Genomic DNA, 17,992 nt, shown 5'->3' with positions numbered 1-17,992 from the left:
CATTCTTCTAGGATTCTCACTGCAAATCCTACCAAGGCTAATTTACTCATTAGTCACATAAAATGCCTTGCCTCATTCCCTCAAACCCACTGTCCACCCTACAGCTCGTCTCCACAGTTTCTTCTTTCTCCAGAAATCAGTCCATATCCCCAATTCCCTCATAAACCTTCCCAAAGCACTTTTACTCATGTTTGTCACTTTCCAATCATTACAATGTAATCATATACCACCTCCTATTTTTTAATATAACTACCAGAGGTGTCTTATTTACCAACATGTTTTCCATCTCTCTTCATTCTGGCATACAAGAATGGTTCACATCATATCTTGTAGCATTTCCGTATCGTAATGCCTCTAGAGATCAAATAACAACTCAGTGAATAGGTAAATATCACTGTGCAGGTTAACTCTACATAGTGAAAAATGCATCCTGAGCAAAGTCACCAACAGAATGTCTCCCTGAAACCTTGAGGCGTTATGGCATTCAATTGGGTACAGCACCTGCCAACCACTGTGTGAGGTGGTCTGACTTGTGACTGCATGACTAGAACATGTGGATAGTAAAAAAAAAAAAAAAAAAAAAAAAATCAATAAAGTGAAAGCATATTAATTGATGAGCAATACTTTCTTATAACATAAGCACAGTAAAATGGAAATTGTTTTTAAACAATTCTCAGTCTAATTTTTTCTTATAGTGTCATAACCAAGATGACCAAGACAAACTATTTGTTTAAACTTCAGACTGAGGACTTCTGCTGCTTTACTTATAGTTGCTTAGGAATGATGATAATGGTAAATTTTAAGTTCTGCAACTGATGATGATGATGATGATGATCATGATCATGATCATGATGTATGGTTTCTTGCTGTATTACAGTTCCTGTTCTAAGTGCTTTATATATAAAATGACACCATCTTTTCAACAATCTTATTATGATCATTGTACAGATGAGGAAAATGAGGCATAACGAGGTTGAACAAGTCACCCAAGGCAACATAGCCAAACGTAAGGATGGAATGTGAACCAAGATACACAGGTTCTAGAATCCACGCCCCATTCTGCTACATCACACTGCCTCTCCTTGTACCGAAAGCGTCCCAATTATAGAATGTGTATCTGCCATGGTCAATGTCATTTCAGAAGTTTGTAAGGGCTATTCCTTGAAGCTTACACCTGCCCCCCTCAATGTGACTAACAAGTCTTTTCAGTTAGTAACATACTTGCTGAGGGTTTGACAACAAAGACTTAATGAAGATTGTGATAAATTCACACAGACACCCAAGTAAATGTAAGCATCCACAGAAATGAGGAAGAGTAAGTATTATGCCACCAAATAAAATTCATCTTGCCTGAATGTATTTTCATATAACATAATGAGTAAATACAAAATAACCATTATTGCTTACTGAACATTAGCTAGAGTTTAACACTTTTCAGTAATATAGACAAATTACACTTGGCAGGAAAAGCTCTCAATATGCTTACAAGGTATTCTAGAAAAAGATAAATAAATGTGTACTTAAATCAATAAAAGTGAAGACAAAAAGCATGTTTATGGAAATGAGGGTTTCGAAGGAGCTAAATATAATTGAATTCTGGCTATTGCTTTCTTGAAATGAAAATGGCCATTGCTAAGCATTTGATTATTGAAGATAAAACTAAAGTTTTCAATATAACACAGAGTTCATTATTACAAGCAGTGGAAGAATGTTATTAGATCCACAAATCAACAGAAAAATGATACCGTTTTGCTTCAGATAACAGAAGACTCAGTTTTTCTCTTTTTTTTTCTCAGTGTTTTATTGTTATTGTTGTTTTAGCCACTAATACGAGAGAAAAAATTAGCCCATCTTTCCCTTTTTTTTCTTGGAGTATAATGTCTTTCTACATTTAATTTCGTCCTTCCTTGGACGTTATAGTACTTAATCTCTCTCCTTCTCCTTCTTCCTCTCTTGACACTGGATCTCTGCAGATGACTATCTCTTGGTTATTCTTCTCTGATTTTTCTTATTTTAGTAGGTAATAGAATTAAAAAATGATCTTCCCACCAACATACTCTTTCCCAAATAATCAGTTTTCAGAAAGCAGCCATCCACTTATACTCGTTCTTTGTGTACCTTTCCAAAGGGCGTCCGTATCTCTAATGTTTTATATTCCCATATTTTTCTCAAATTACAAATATGCCATAATATTTGATACCTTTCTCTTTTCATTCATTCTACTTGGAGATGTGTCTATGTCAGTTTACATGACATATTTTCGACCTTTAATCTTTTTCTTTTCCACATGTAGTATAATAATTTAAATTATTTTAAGTTATGTGATATTCTACTTATTTTTAATAAAATATATAAATATATTTTTATGGCTAAAATAATTAAATTCCCATGAACTCTCTGTTTTACATAATAATACAATCTTACATATATCATTCGAATGGGTTCATTCCTGTCCTTTTCCAATTCTGCCCAGAGAAGAGAATTATTCTTTTGACATTTGTGTTATAATCGTCTTGGTTTTAAAAATTTTTATATCATACATTTTAACTCAGGAACAATATTTTTTTCAATTTTCCTCTAAGCTTCATAAAATGGAATTTTATTATATAGCAGTCTTTGACATTTGCTTTTTATCTCAATATCACATTGATACTTGATAGTTGTGATACTTTCACATTCATTGAGGTATGAAATTCCATCATGTAAATACACACCACAATATATTGAAACCAATGGCAAAAAGCACAATTACTTTTGCACCAATCTAATATTTACAAATGCTTCTGTTGATGGGCCTGGAGTTTTGTTTTTTTTACTATGCACGAAGCTGCTATGAGAATTCTTCTACGTGTCTCCTAAGAAAATGTAAGAATTTATATACAGTATTTGGCTGAGAATGAAATAACTGCTGATTTGCAGGGTATGTCAGTGCCCAAATTTAAGAGATATTGCCAAATTATTTTTCCAAAATGGTTGTACAAGTTTACACATGAATCAGCAGTATAAAAATGCTCCCACTGTTCACACCCATACCAATGCCTGGTATTGCCAAATATATATTTTCCCACATTTCTTCTAAGTATGCATCAAAGGGTGGATTTGCTGTAGTTGCATATTTAACAGATATCACCAAACTCTTTTGCAAAGTGGCTACTTGAGCTGATGTTTTCATCATTAATTATTTTAATATACAAGAGTTCCCTTTATTCTATAAATATTTTTCTACAAATTTCCCTTCATTTAATAAGTAAAATATGTTATTTTACCTAAGGAAAGTATTTTTTAAATAATCTGTTTTTATTATTTATGTTTCTCTGATACATTTTGCTTTGTTTTTATTTTTGTTTTGTTGTGATTGCTTTGAATGGGCAAAAACTTTTTACAAAGTAGGTTTTAGAGTTGGGAGATTGAGATAGATGCAGACCAGGAACAATCAACTGTAATTTTCTGTAGGCATTTTATCAGTCATTGGTTTATAGAGAAGAATCATATCCTTTATTCTCTCACCTGGGAACTATAAACCCAGATGCCAGCATTCTGTGGGACAAGTAGACTAAGATGAACCTGGGGTTGTATGTTCACTTAGTTCCCTTGTTTTAGCTGCATAATATTTTTTTCTCAGCTGTGTCTAATGTGGTGTATTGGTCAGGTTTCACACTGTTAGTAAAGAGATATTTGAGATTGGGAAATTTACCAAAGAGGTTTAATGGACTCACAGTTCCATGTGACTGGGGAGGCCTCACAATCATGGTGGAAGGTGAAAGGCACGAACCACATGGCAGCAGATGAGAGAAGAGACCTTGTGCAGGGAAACTCCCCCTTATAAAACCATCAGATCTCATGAGACTTATTCACTCTCAGGAGAACAGCATGGGAAAGACCCAACCCCATGATTCAATTACCTCTCACCAGGTTCCTCCTACAACACATGGGAATTGTAGGAGCTACAACTCAAGATGAGATTTGGGTGGGGACACAGCCAAACCATATCATGTGTTGAGTACAGAATCTTTCTGGTTACTTTAGAGAGCAAATCTCCCAATTATTCTGGGTTGCAGGATGGGCACTTACTTATATGCACAGGACGGAGAAAGAAATTGGGATTCTGATTTGTAAAAACAGACTTTCAGCCTTCCCTCTTATTTGCGGATGGCCTAAGCTACAACCCCAATTTTAGGAATTCCACCTCCTTCTACTTCCCAAGTCCTCTGGGTGGGGATTGATGATTAATATGCTTGCTTCACAACTTACCCTGCATTCCAAAGTAGGCTTCAGACCTCTCCTGGCAAGTAAACTAACACTTGTCCCTCTATTTTCCACCTTTGAAGTGTGTGGCTGTCATATTCTCTCCCACACTCCTCAGCAATGTAGGCTGATATAAATTGAGTCTTCATTTCTGCCGCATTAGTTCAGCTGTAGAAAGGAAAGTAGGTATAGTAATGTATTTTATGAACCATGCTCCTTTCCCCGATCTTTCTAGCTGAACCTCCCAACACTGGGACTAAGCACTTTTCTGGTTTCTCATTCCATGACTTTATGAAGATTCCAACCTCACTTTGATCATTTCTGAGCAAAATTCTGGCTTTATCCTTCAGTTGCATTATTTAGAGTAGTGAATTCCCAAACTTTTTAAACCCACTGACATTCCTGATGAATATAAAAGCCTTCTGAATATTGTATCTAATAAGCTCAAGAGCAGACACCATATACCTCATTAAGAATCACTACTATCTGTGTTATCTTAAAACCACAAAAATATTAATCTGGGTTTTCTGTATTCTGCATTGTGAAAAACAATAAAAATATTAAAGATAAAATAATATTATTAAATACAATTAGAGTATATATTTGAAACCACATTGACTTCAGAGAGTTTGACCCTGTTGTAAGTAGTTAAGGGATACCCAGTTATGCAGGTACAAAACAGATCAGCCAACCAGTAGATGGGATTTCGGTTCTAGCCACTTTTGTTTTTTACTATTATAGTAAGACACTTAATCCATCTAGAATTCAACTTTCTCATTAGTAATTTGAAAACTTTTATTTAATGATATGAAAAACTTTCAGCAGAGAAAAAAAAACCATCATGGAACACTTAATGACTTCTTATATGTTAGGAAGAATTTTTGATCTTTAGCCATTTTGAGTGAAGGAAAACAAAACCTTTTTCTTCAATTCAGAGGTCTCTGAACCATTCTTCTGTTCGCCTCTCTGTTGATTTATACACTGAAAACAACTGAGGACCAGTAACGTGACCTCTCTTTCTTTCCTTTGCCAACTTATACATATTTAATATTTTAATCTACTTCTCTATCTTCTCTAAATTTCTTTTTGTTTATCTTTGCCCTTATGTTTTAGGGCCAAGTGACTTCCAGGAATTTTACATAGTATCCCAGACATAGCCATACCCAAGCTGTATAAACTAGAACTTCTGCTTCTCACCTGTGTGCAACCCGACTCTTTTCAAGGCAAACTGCATTGCAAAATTGTGTCTAGATTGTCCCTTTCTATGGCTATCAGATGTCTATATTAAATGACGAGAAAGGAAGTCTGTTCTGCTGGTGGCTAGATGTTTTTTTTTCCCCAATTTTACAGCAGCATAATTCCAAGAAACATTTATTTCTAATTACTGTAACTTATCACACTAATAATTCTTTATTAATATATGGGAAGTTAGGTATGTTAAGGACCTGTCTATTTGAATATGTTAACATATGTCACTCTGCATCTACTAGACTCAATGCTATTAATTCAACAATAAAAGGAATTCCTCAGGAAAACCGAGGGCCTGCAGGCTGCCTGCGTCTTGAGTAAGGAAGGAACAATCCAGAGATCTGCCAATGCCTCACAAGTGTGCAAATCAGCAAATATTCTGAGACTATACACTGTATTGAAAAAGAGGATCGTCAGCTTAATACCATTAGAGTACTGTGCTTTTGTTCTGTACAGCACCAAAATGCAGTTTTCATTCAGGATTAATTTATTTTTTCAAACTATATATGTACTTTTCTGTTTAATTGTAATCCTAGGAGAGCAGCTATATTATCTGCATTGTTGTTATATTCCCAAAACCCAGAAAACAGATGTTCAATAAATGATTTTCAAATGATTGGTGGAATGAAATACAATAAGGAAGGAAGAGTACCTTAGTCTTTTCAGGCTGCTATAACAAACTACCATCCCCTGGGTGCCTTATAAACAACACAAATGTATACATGAATTTTATTTATGAAGCTGAGAAGTACTAGATCAAAATACCAACAAATTCAGCATCTGAATCTGATAAGGGCCCACTCCCTGGTTCATATTGGGGGTTCTGATACAAACATATCAATTTTGCTGGGACATAAACATTTTAGTCTGCAGGAAGAAGTAAAATAGTATATATTCACATATATCTTAGATTACCAAAATTGCAAATATGCTGCCTAAAAATAATAGGAACTTTGCTAATTTACATTCCCACCAATAGTTTACAAAGGATCTCTTTTCTCCATAACCTCACCAATATGTGTTATCTTTTTTGATAACAGCCAATGTAACAGTTGTGAGGTGACATCCCATTGTGGTTTTAATTTGCATTTCCCTGATGAATAGTGATGCTGAGCATTTTTTTTTTCATATATGTGTTGGCCATTTGTATGTCTTCTATTGAGAAATGTCTGTTCAGATCTTTTGCCCATTTTCTAACGGTTGTTTTATTGTTACTATGTTGCTAAATTCCTTCCATGTTTTATATATTAATCTCTTATCCCATATATGGTTTGTAAATATTTTCTCCCAATCAGTGGATTGTCTCTTTACTCTGTTGTTTCCTTTGCTACACAGAAGCTTTTTTATTTGATGCCATCCCATTTCTCTATTTCTGCTTTTGTTCCCTGTACTTTTGATGATACCTAAGAAATCATTGCCCACACCAATGTAATAGAGCTTTTCTCCTATGTTTTCTGCCAAGAGTTTTCAGCTCCAGATTTTAAATCTTTACTCCCTTTTGAGTTGATTTAGTACATGACATGTGGTAAGGGTTCAATTCCATTATTTTGCATGTCAGTATCCAGTTCTCCCAACACCATTTATTGAAAAGACTGCCCTAACCCCATTGTGTCTTCTTGGAAGCTTTGTTGAAAATTAATTGACAAATTTTGTGGGTTTATGTTTTGGCTTTCTATGTTATTCTATTGATCAATGTGTCTGTTTTTATGCTACTTCCATGCTTTTTTGACTACTATGGTTTGGCAAGGTATTTTGAAATCAGATAGTGTGGTATCTCCAGGTTTGTTCTTCTTTCCTACTTGGGGTTGTTCATGAACTTATAAACAGTCTCCTAGGGTATATAATACAGTTTGTCATCCTAGTTTTACAGTGTCTATAACATGATATTTCCTCAAAAATTATAAGCATCTAAGTATTAACAATTTACTGTCTACTACAAATTTAGCATTTTGATGAAAAATTATGTTTGATTATGTAATTTATGACAATTCACCACTGTGCAGGTTTTGTCCATTTTTCTTTTAAAATTTTTCTACAGCAAGTATATCAACTTAAAAGATTTTATATAACACAAAGGAATAAAATTTCAAGAAAATGTTTTGTTTTGTTTTTTTTACTGAACCAAAAATTTAATTCCAGCTTTCAAAGTGAGACGTTTTGTATATTTAAGTTCAGGAGGAATCATTTTTGACTTGTGATATGTTGTCAGTGGAGTGAAAAATAAAAACTGACTTGATTTCTTTTCATTCATGTTCCAAACACTCATGTGTTATATTTTCTCAAAATGTGGCCAGGCCTAAAGTTATCACTCATTCAGCCTCACTTGGGATATAAAAAACTGCTTTATGAGTTGCAAATCATTAAAACATACGTATTTCTTCAAGAGTATTCGGTAAGTCAGAGAAATGCTTACCCAAAGTAAACCCAAAGTAAAAATGACAGTGAGTGGCAGCCTATGAACATACACACACCGGAAAATAAAAAATATTATATATCATGCTAGCATGGTTACTGTAGGAAAAACTACAACAGAACTCAAATAAATGGAAACCTACACATCTCATCATTTGTCTCCTCATCAGTAAAATCGTGTTGAGGCAGCCTTGTTGTCTGGGGTGACACTCGAGGTTCTTGGTCTCACAGGCACAGAGATCAAGAACATGGACACACACAAAGGGTGAGGTACAGAGCAGAAATTTAACAGGCGAAACAAAGAGAACAGCTCTATGCTACAGAGAGGGGTCCCAGAAAAATGAGTTACCAATCTGTGGTGAAATGCAGGGGTTTTTATAGATGACGTAGTGGGAAGGCCGTGTCTGATTTACATAGGACACGAAAAACTTGTTAGGACCTGTTGTGCCATCTGGATAGGGTGTGACTCTCTGCCAGCCCCCACCCCAGTCTTTTATTATGCATGTGGGTTCCCTGTCTGAGCTTCTCCATGTTGTCCATTTGTTACGGTACACATGCTAACAACAAAGGGAAGGTCGAGCCCCATGGTGGACATGCGTGGCTCCCAGGGAGCCCTGTTCTATTGGTGTAGCTGCCAGCATCCCCCCATGCACACTTCCAGCTTCCTTATTTATGTTTGCAGCTCGATCTTTTAGGCTGCTCTTTGTTAGAAAATAAATGATTTCTTGGGCTGATTTTTGTTAGAAGGGAAGTTCTGCCAAAGGACTCTTGCTCTCATTATCTACCTAAATAATGTCTATCTCCTCCATCAGTTTTATGGACAAAAAATTCCTTTTCATTCTATAAAAACATTGTTAGCAATTGTGATAAATGATGCACATGCATTCTATTAAATCTTTCTCTTTTCCCTTCAACCTGAAATTTGAAATTTTTTCCACTAGTTTGGCAGACATGGAATTCTTACAATACCTTTCTAAAATATTTCTGGTTATAATTGAGCCATGGGATTAAAAGCAGTGGCAAATGAGGCCTTTTGCTTGGCACACTTATCATATTATAACTCTACACAGATTACATAGTCAATAGCATTTCCATGATACCTTGACGATCCTTTTAATTGATTGAACTGTATCCATCAATAAAGGTATTTCCAAGACTTAACACCCAGTATCTGAGAATGTGACATTATTTGGAGAAAAGGGTCTTTGAAGATGTAATTAACAATCTCAAAATAAAAATAACCTGAATTTAGGATGGACTCTAAATTTCTTATAAGGACAAGTGTCCCGATAAGAAAAGAGGAAGTTACAGAGATACAGAGGGCAGACAGCTATGCTAAGAATTGCCAGCTTTCTCTGGAAGCTGGGAAAGAGGCATGGAGCAGATTTGACCTCAGAGACTCCAAGAGAAAGCAGCCTTACCAAGTTGATTTTGGACTTCTGGTCTCTAGAACTATGAGAGAATAATTACTGTCGCCTCAAAGCTACCAAGTTTGTGGTAATTTGTTATGACATCCCTAGGAAACTAATCTATTGCCATCACTACCATAACTTATGATGTTTTTTAATCTACCAGAAGCAATATAGGGTATGGTAAAGGAAACAGCTTTGGAGATGGGCTATCTAGGTTCAATCCTGAGTTAACCACTTACCAACTTAAAAAATTATTAAATATTGCAAAAAACTATACAAATTTTATTGGACCTGTATCAGAATTACATACAAAATGTTCTAAAGATATTGCTCACAGTTTTGCCAGCTATGCAGAAAATACCCCATAAATACTAACAAAAATTGTTCTCTATAGGATGCTGTTGGTCATATCTCTGTAACTGAGGTGAAGAGAGATGCAATAGCTTAGGTTTCAAATTAAAATTTACTATTTGCTGTAATGTAAACTTTAGTAAAATGTGGCTTTTTTCATTCATTTGAAAGTTTATCTTTTTGCATATGTGTAAGTGTGTCAGCCATGGAACAGAGAGAAGGTACAGAGAGAAGGTATACCAGGACCAACCACAGAAGAGGAGAAAAGAGACAAGGAAGATAGAGAGAAGCCAGGTTGATGAAGGAGTTAAATACCATGAAGGAATTTAGGCATTGTCTTACACGATGAAGTGCCACTAACGGGAACCAAGCTGAGAAATAACATGCCTTGGTTGTGGTTTATATCAAGTATTCTGTGTTTTATGTAAAGTATTCTGACTGCAGTGTATGAGAATAAATTTAAGGAAGACAGCCCAGTGAAGAAACTTTTGCTGTGCTCTACGTGGGAGATGACAAAGACTCAATTTTATTTTATTTAAATTTTAATTATTTTATTTATTTTGAAACAGAATCTCACTCTATCACCCAGGCTAGAGTGCAGCTGCACTGTCTCGTCTCACTACAACCTCTGCCTCCAAGGTTCAAGCAATTCTCATGCCTCAGCCTCCCAAGTAGCTGGGATTACAGGCATGCACCACCATACTTGGCTATTTTTTCTATTTTTAGTAGAGAAAAGTTTTCACTACTGTGTTGGTCAGGCTGGTCTCGAACTCCTGGCCTCAAGTGATCTGCCCACCTAGGCCTCCCAAAGTGCTGAGATTATTGGCATGAGACACCACACCTGGCCTTCAAAGACTCAAATTTTTAAAAATGGTAGTTGGATAAAGAAGGGGGATGAGATCAATACTTCACATCAAAACTTCTACTCCTTTGAGAATCATTCTACCCTATCCTTTCTGTATTTTCTTTTTTTGTGAGACAGAGTCTCACTCTGTCGCCCAGGCTGGAGTGCAGTGGTGCGATCATGGCTCACTGCAAGCTCCACCTCCCAGGTTCACGCCATTCTCCTAACTCAGCCTCCCGAGTAGTCAGGACTACAGGCACCTGCCACCACGCCCGGCTAATTTTTTGTATTTTTAGTAGAGACAGGATTTCAACGCGTTAGCCAGGATGGTCTCGATCTCCTGACCTCGTGATCTGCCCTCCTCGGCCTCCCAAAATGCTGGGATTACAGGCGTGAGCCACTGTGCCTGGCCCCTAACTGTATTTTCTATAGCTTCCTTTGTAGAAAGGGATTTTTTGACTGAATATGAAATGTGATACAAGAAGATGAGAATAAAAATGACAAATAAGGATGCATGATTAGTAAAAAATCAAATGAAAATGTACAGAAACGAACCATATTTGGGGATAGAGAAATAAAGTGAGCTCACTTTCCCCATGTTAATTTTTGTGGAACAAGTAGAATAACCATATGGAGATACACAGTACCTTAGTCTATGTCTACAGTAAAAAAATAAAATAAAAAAAAAAAAGAAGTCTGACTTATTCATACAAATTTAAGAGTTGGCATATATTTGTTATTAAGATCATCAGGCTGGATGTGGTGGCTCATGTCTACCATCCCAGCACTTTGTAAGGCCAAGATGGGAGGATTGCTTGAGTCAAGGAGTTTGAGGCCAGCCGCACAACACAGTGAGATCCCCTCTCTACAAAAAATAAACAAAATTAGCCAGGCATGGTGGCATGTGCTAGTAGTCTCAGCGACTCAGGAGGCTGAAGTAGTAGGACCACTTGAGCCTAGGAGGTTGAGGCTACAGTGACCCAAGTTTGTGCCACTGCATTCCAGCATGGGCAACATACCTGCCTAAGAAAAAAAAAAAAGGAGAATGTGTAAGATCACCAAGGACAGTGTGTAGACTCTAAGAGTTGTTCCTAAATACAAACATATAGAAACAGAAAGGAGAAAGAGAAGCTGTTTAAGAAGAAGGCAAAAACCAGAGGTATGACAATGACCGGAGGAGCGCTGTGTCATGGCAATGAAAGGAATTAAGAGAGGGAGAATAAGTGTTCTAGCATTCAGAATTCATTCAGCAGAGGAGCAGAATACAACATAGGATTTTGAAGTATGAAGATATTTAAATTAATAATTGTGTCACAGCTTAATGGCTCCTTTTTGCTGACTACCTGGAAAAGCCAATACACTGAGAATGGCAGGGATGTTGCAGTCAAGAGTTTAATTATCACAAAGCAGCCAAGTGGGAAGACTGGAAATATTTCTCAAATCTGCTTCTCTGAAAGCTCAGAGGCTAGGATTTTTAAGGATAATTTGGCAGGCATGAGGCTAGGGAATGTGTGCTACTGATTGGTTGGGTTAGGGATGAAACATTAAGAGTGTCTAACTGTCTTCGTGTACTTGGGTCAGTTTCCAGGTGGGGATCACATGATTGGTTGAGTCAGTTGCTTGGTATGTGGCATGAGTCCAGGTAGAGTCAGTAGGTGAGGAGAATGCAAAAGTCTGAAAAATAGCTCAAAGATCAATCTTAGGTTTTATAATAGTGATGTTATCTACAGGAGCAAGGTAGGGGTGGTGTTTCAAATCTTGTGACCTCTGGCTACAGGACTCTGGCTAGTTATCATTTAACCATGCCTACATCTTGGCAGAATTAAGGCCCCTCCCATAATTTTAATGCTGTGGCCTTTTATTAGCCTTACAAAGATGGTCTGGGTCCCTGAACAAGGAGAGGGTCAGTATTGGGAAGGAATTATTATTCTCCTTGATTAAACATCAAATTGTAAGCCAGATTTCTCCCATATTTAGCTTTGCCAACATTCAGCAATGAGCAAGGGCAGTAAGCTTGTGAGGTTAGAAGCAAGATAGAGTTTGTTTATGCTAGATTCCTCCCACTGTTACAATAGTTGCAAAGCGGATTTCTGTGGAGCTTTCTATAATTGTTAGGCATCTTGAAGGTACCGTTTCCAATTTAGATCTTCTGGAATGACACTCAGTTCAAAAAGAGTTAATACTGCAAAGCCATCACTATAGCTATAAGGAAAACCAGAAGATTCTGCTGCTTTCCCAAGGAACTCTCACAAATGGAATGCTGGAGAATGAGCACACAAAGCTAAAGTCATGCCAGGAATTAGAAAATCAGATGAGGACTCTGTGGCCAATGTCATTTATTGGCAGCAGGACATTGAACACCCGGCAATGGAACACAAGTGAAAGTAACCCACTCATTTCCAAATCTTGTTTACTGGAAGCACTAGCTTCAAGCCACAGATCTGGACTCCACTTTTTCCTGATCTCTCTAGAGTGCCTCTAAAGGAGAAACACATTTGACTTCAAAGATTATAGCTGCAAGACAGCTGGTGAAGTGATTTTAGCATTCCTGTCTTTCCAAATAATAATGTGAAGTGGGATTTAAGAAAGACAATTTGAAAAATTCTTCCACAGTCATCGAATGTAATATAACCTTTCAGCAAAACAAATATTGTAAAATATCAATTGAATGTGCCAATTGAATGTATGAATTACAAGTTACTGGAGACCATAACAAAAATTGCTTTGGTGTCATGGGGAAAGTGAAAAACCATATTAGAGGGATTTAGGAAGTATATGAAACACAAAGAATGATGAGGACTGTTACTGATTAGAAACCAAAGAATGATGAGGACTGTTACTGATTAATCTCCATAGGAAGAAGATAAAAAATATTAAGAGATATTAGTATAAGAAACAGGAAGGTTATTCATTATTGAAAGTAGGGTATAAAAACAATTTTTAAAAAAAGATAAGAAAGAAAGGGGTTTGTTGATATTGTTTGTTTAGCAAAAGGCTATTTAAGCCTATCTAGGCATTGAGGGAATGTTTCCCAGGAAGATAAAAGAGATTAAAGGTAAAATGGGGGAAAAAAAGAGCTTATTCGCTCACCAAGTTCTCTCAAGGGAGCAAAAAAAAGAAACATATGGAAATATTTACTCAAAAGGAACATAAAAACTCATATTTACATCTTATAGAGAAAAGAATAGGGAATATGGAATAGATATGTTTGTAGGTGAGTATAGAAGTGAGATTCCAACTAATGGTCACAGGATCTATTTCTTGTTTTGTTTGCTTTGTTTCTTCTCAATAAGAATAAGGTTGTCCAGTGAGAATGAGGTTAATAGAAACCGAGGAAGGAGACATAGGAAAGTCATAAAAGTTTAGAATAATCATTGTGAGGAATCAAAGGTAGAGCTACCCAAGATCAGTAAAGGTATTAATGAAATGTTTCGAAGTCACAATCAAAGTTACTTATGAGGATATTTTCACCTGTGTATTTTTTGTCTCCACAGCACTTATTCAATGAAGTAAATGAAAAGATAACGCAGATCATAGCAGTGATTCTGGGTTCACTTTGAAAGGATAAATATGACAAAATGGCAGGTGCTGAGAAATCTAGGCTACTGAAAAAGTTGTTCAGACTTTTGACATGAAATTCACGAAAGCCAGTGAAGGAAGGGAGATCAGGAAGTATCTGATACATTCTAAAACAGAAGTAAGATAATAAGGTCTTGGAATCTTTGGTAAAATAAAATGAAGGAAATAAGGAAGTAAAAGAGTTAGAAAAACAGGAAATCATGGTCAGAGAACAGGCAAGTTATATTATAAGGTTCTGAGCTTGACCAGACCAGATTAGGAAAACTTGGAGAATTTGACCCTGCAGGGAGGATGTTTGCTGTAAATGTAAATGGCCATTGAAGCTGCAAAAGCCCGGGGAATTAGACACAAAGCTATTGTTTGGAATTTTATAGGTGATGGTTAAAGACCATTCAAATAATCCAAAGATGTGTAAATCTGGCAACTATGATCCAGGTACCAAAGTCTGAAACAGATGTAGAACCTACAAAGGAAGCTGTAGAAAATGCAGAAAGGATAGGATAATATGATTCTCAAAGGAGTGGAAGTTTTGATACGACGTAGAATACTTGTGTGAAAGTTCTGTTGTGAATCTAGAGAATGAAAACCCTATTTTCTCACTTCAACTATTTGGATTTGAAAATATAATCAGTTCTAGGTACATTTTAATGTGATAATTTCAATGACCAATGAATGTCAGAAGCAGGGAGAAATAGAAGCAAACACTGGGTAGAATTTAATAACTAGGCTTATTTTAAATATTATTAACTAGAAAAGGCTAAAAGTTTTGAATAACCACTGATACTACCAATGCATAATAATGCCACTAAATCAAATAACTTTTTCTTTGTCCTCTAAAATTATTAAAACAAAGATTTCAAGTGACAAATGAAAGTGCCTTTGCAAAAATTATGACAGTGAGATAAATCTGGCATAGTTGACTCCATCTTGCTTCTAACCTCACAAAGAGAGTATGAAAATATGTAGCACTACTAAACCAAATTACTATCATAAGAAATATACCATAACCATACTTTTCCTGGAAGAGCACTATGTGTGTTTTCCATAAACTGCCATAGAAATAAACATTTTAATTTATATTTTTTGAAACTGGGAAACCAAAATATGCCACCCCAAAATATGCTTCTTTGGCACAACTAACCCAGAATATGCTTCTTTGGTATATTTTGGGTTAGTTGTGATGAGAAAGGGCAGACAAAATGAGCTCTGAGAAGCTATCCTTTTGTAAAAGAAATATACACCTATCTGCTTTAATAAAACAAACAGGGGATGCAGGCAGAGGCTTTTTCTGAGGTTGCCTTCTTGGGTTCTAGGAAAGATTAACTCACAGGAAAAAGAGACTAAAGGTCTGACACTTATCAAGGTTTGACAGACAAACTTACTAAAGGCTACACCATCTCTCTGAGGACTGCTGCTCGGGAGACTTCATCTGCGTAACCAGACCGCTTTTGCTCATTATTTAGTTCTTTTCCTCGGCCTCCAATAACCTGTTACCACTTCACTCCAAGAGCTAAAAACCCCTACTCATTTCTGTACAGTATAAAATCTTCAGTCATCTGGCTCATCCTGGAGTCTCACATTTTGTGTGGCTGCTGTGTATTTGCATACAAATTGACTCGTATGCCTTTTCTCCTACTAATCTGTCTGTTGTCAGTTTGTTTTATAGACTAAAATTAAAAAATCTTCAAGAAAGGGAGGAGAAGTTCCTTCATCCGTGGAAAACAAAACTCTTGTTAAACACCCGACATCAGGAGCTGTTTTCACATTTCCTTTGCCAACACAAGAAACAGTTTTACGGTATATCTGATTTTTAAGATTACTCAAACTATATCATTTTCACAATATTTACAATGATTAATTTACATATGGTGTTTGAGAAAGAATCAATTGACAGTTTATTGTAATAAAAAATGAAATTGTTTTTATAAATAGGCTCTTCGAAAGGCAAAACTTTTTGCTGTTAATGATTTCATGTACAACTACCTCCAGTTATTCAAAATTTGAATCTCTGAGTTCCTAATCCTGTGATATTGAGTTTCACTGATACAACAAATATAGTGTGCACATTTTCATTTCCTTTTACAGAGCCTACTGTTGATTCATTAAGAGTGTAAAAAATCTGCAGAGAATTATCTTTAAAGTCCCCGGATAAAAAGTTTGGCAAATAACAGCTGATATAACCTATGAATAAGTCTGTCAGTTTGAAAGCATATAAAGCTTAAATGTCAAAAGGAAGGTTTCCTTGTAAATAGAAAAAAATAGAAGCTATTTTGAAAGTCTATTTACATTACAGGCCAATGGGTTCTTCCTGCTTACTGCATAGCAAAACCAATGCACTGAGAGCAACCAGTTTTGCAGCCAAGGAAGAGTTTAGTAATGACAGGGCCAACCAAGTAAAAGGACAGAAGATAATTCTCAAGTTCACCTCCCCAAGAATTCAGAGACTAGGAATTTTCAATGACAGTTTGGCTGTCAGTGGGTTAGAGAATGGAGAATGCTACCTGTTTGGGTCAGGCATGAAAACACAGGTGGTAAAAGCAGTCTTCTTGCACTGAGTCAGTTCCTCGGTAGGGGTTACAAGACATGTTATCAGTTTCTTAGTATGAGTTGCCAATCCAGGTGTTACCAGCTGGTACATCATAATGCAGTGTCTGAAAAATATCTCAAATACTAACCCTAGGTTTTATTACCATCATATCATCTATAGGAGCAATCAGGAAGGTTACAAATCTGTGGCCTCTGGCTACATGACTCCTGAGACATAATTTTAACCTTGTGGACAATGTGTTAGTTTTACAAAGGTGGTTTTAGTCCCTAAATAAGAAGGCAATTAGTTTTGTGTAAGTGTTGTTATCACCTTTGTTTTAAAGTTAAACTAAATTCCTGCCATAGGTATCTCATCCTCTGCCCAAGAATGAGCAAGAACAGCTTGTACACGCACATATTATAAGAACTGATAACTGAGTCCAGCAATGTTGCAGCATGAAAAATCAACGTACAACAGTCAACTGTATTTCTATGTATTAGCAATAAACCAAAAATTAAATGAAGAAAACAATTTCGTTTAAAATAGCATCAAACAAAATAAAAACACTTGGGAATAAATGTAACCAAAAGAGTATAAAATTTATGCTCTCAAAACACAAAACATTGTTAAACAAATTAAAGAAGAGCTACATAAATGGAGAGGTATCTCGTGTTTAAAGATCAAAATACTTAAGATTGTAAAGGTGGCAATATTCCTCAAACTGATCTACAGTTTCAATAAAATCCCTCAGAATCCCAGCTGGCTTCTTATAGAAACTGACAAGGGAACAAAAATAGCCAAAACATTATGAAAAGAAGGACAAAGTTGGAACACTCGCACTTCTTAATTTCAAAATATACTACAAAGTTAGTGTAAGTATACGGTATTGACATAGTTTAGACATGTCCATCAAGAGTATAAAACAAAGTCTAGAAATTTGTCGTTATGTTTATGAGGAATTTTGTTTTGACAAGGATGCCAAGACAATTAAATGGGCAAATAATAATTGAGCAAATGGTTCTGGAAAAATTAGATATCCACACACTCAAGAATGAAGTTTTATTTGGCTCCTTTCTTACACCATACACAGAAAAATTAACTCAACATTTAAGAGGTGAAGCCATAAACTATCTTAAAAGTAAACTTAAGAATAAATATTTGTGACCCTTAACTGGGCAAAGCCTTTTTACGTATGACACCAAAAGGACAAGTAACAAGAGAAAAAATAAATAAATTTGACTGCATCAAAAGGAAAGAAAAAATGTGTTTCAAAGGATATCACTGAGAAATTCACAAGACAAGTGACAGAATTGAACAAAATATTTACAAACCATGTAACTGTTAAGGGACTTGCATAATAACTGTATAAAGAAC

The 17,992-nt window shown here is 35.9% G+C and overlaps 1 long non-coding RNA gene across 2 annotated transcripts; it reads left to right on the top strand.

The window, feature by feature from the left end:
• Nucleotides 1-1,151: 1,151 nt before the first annotated feature.
• Nucleotides 1,152-17,196, top strand: LOC105379292 (uncharacterized). 2 transcript variants are annotated; one of them, NR_188128.1, is made up of 3 exons: nt 1,152-1,315; nt 15,746-15,888; nt 16,984-17,196. It is a non-coding gene; the product is annotated as an uncharacterized LOC105379292 (long non-coding RNA). The 2 variants fall into 2 exon arrangements; NR_188129.1 differs by lacking the exons at nt 15,746-15,888; nt 16,984-17,196 and adding an exon at nt 5,736-6,109.
• The last annotated feature ends 796 nt before the right edge of the window (nt 17,197-17,992 follow it).

This window comes from Homo sapiens, chromosome 8, assembly GCF_000001405.40.
Source record: "Homo sapiens chromosome 8, GRCh38.p14 Primary Assembly".
Lineage (NCBI taxonomy): Eukaryota > Metazoa > Chordata > Mammalia > Primates > Hominidae > Homo > Homo sapiens.
Note: the sequence above shows the minus strand (reverse complement) of the source record. Positions and strands in the feature narration are given on the sequence as shown.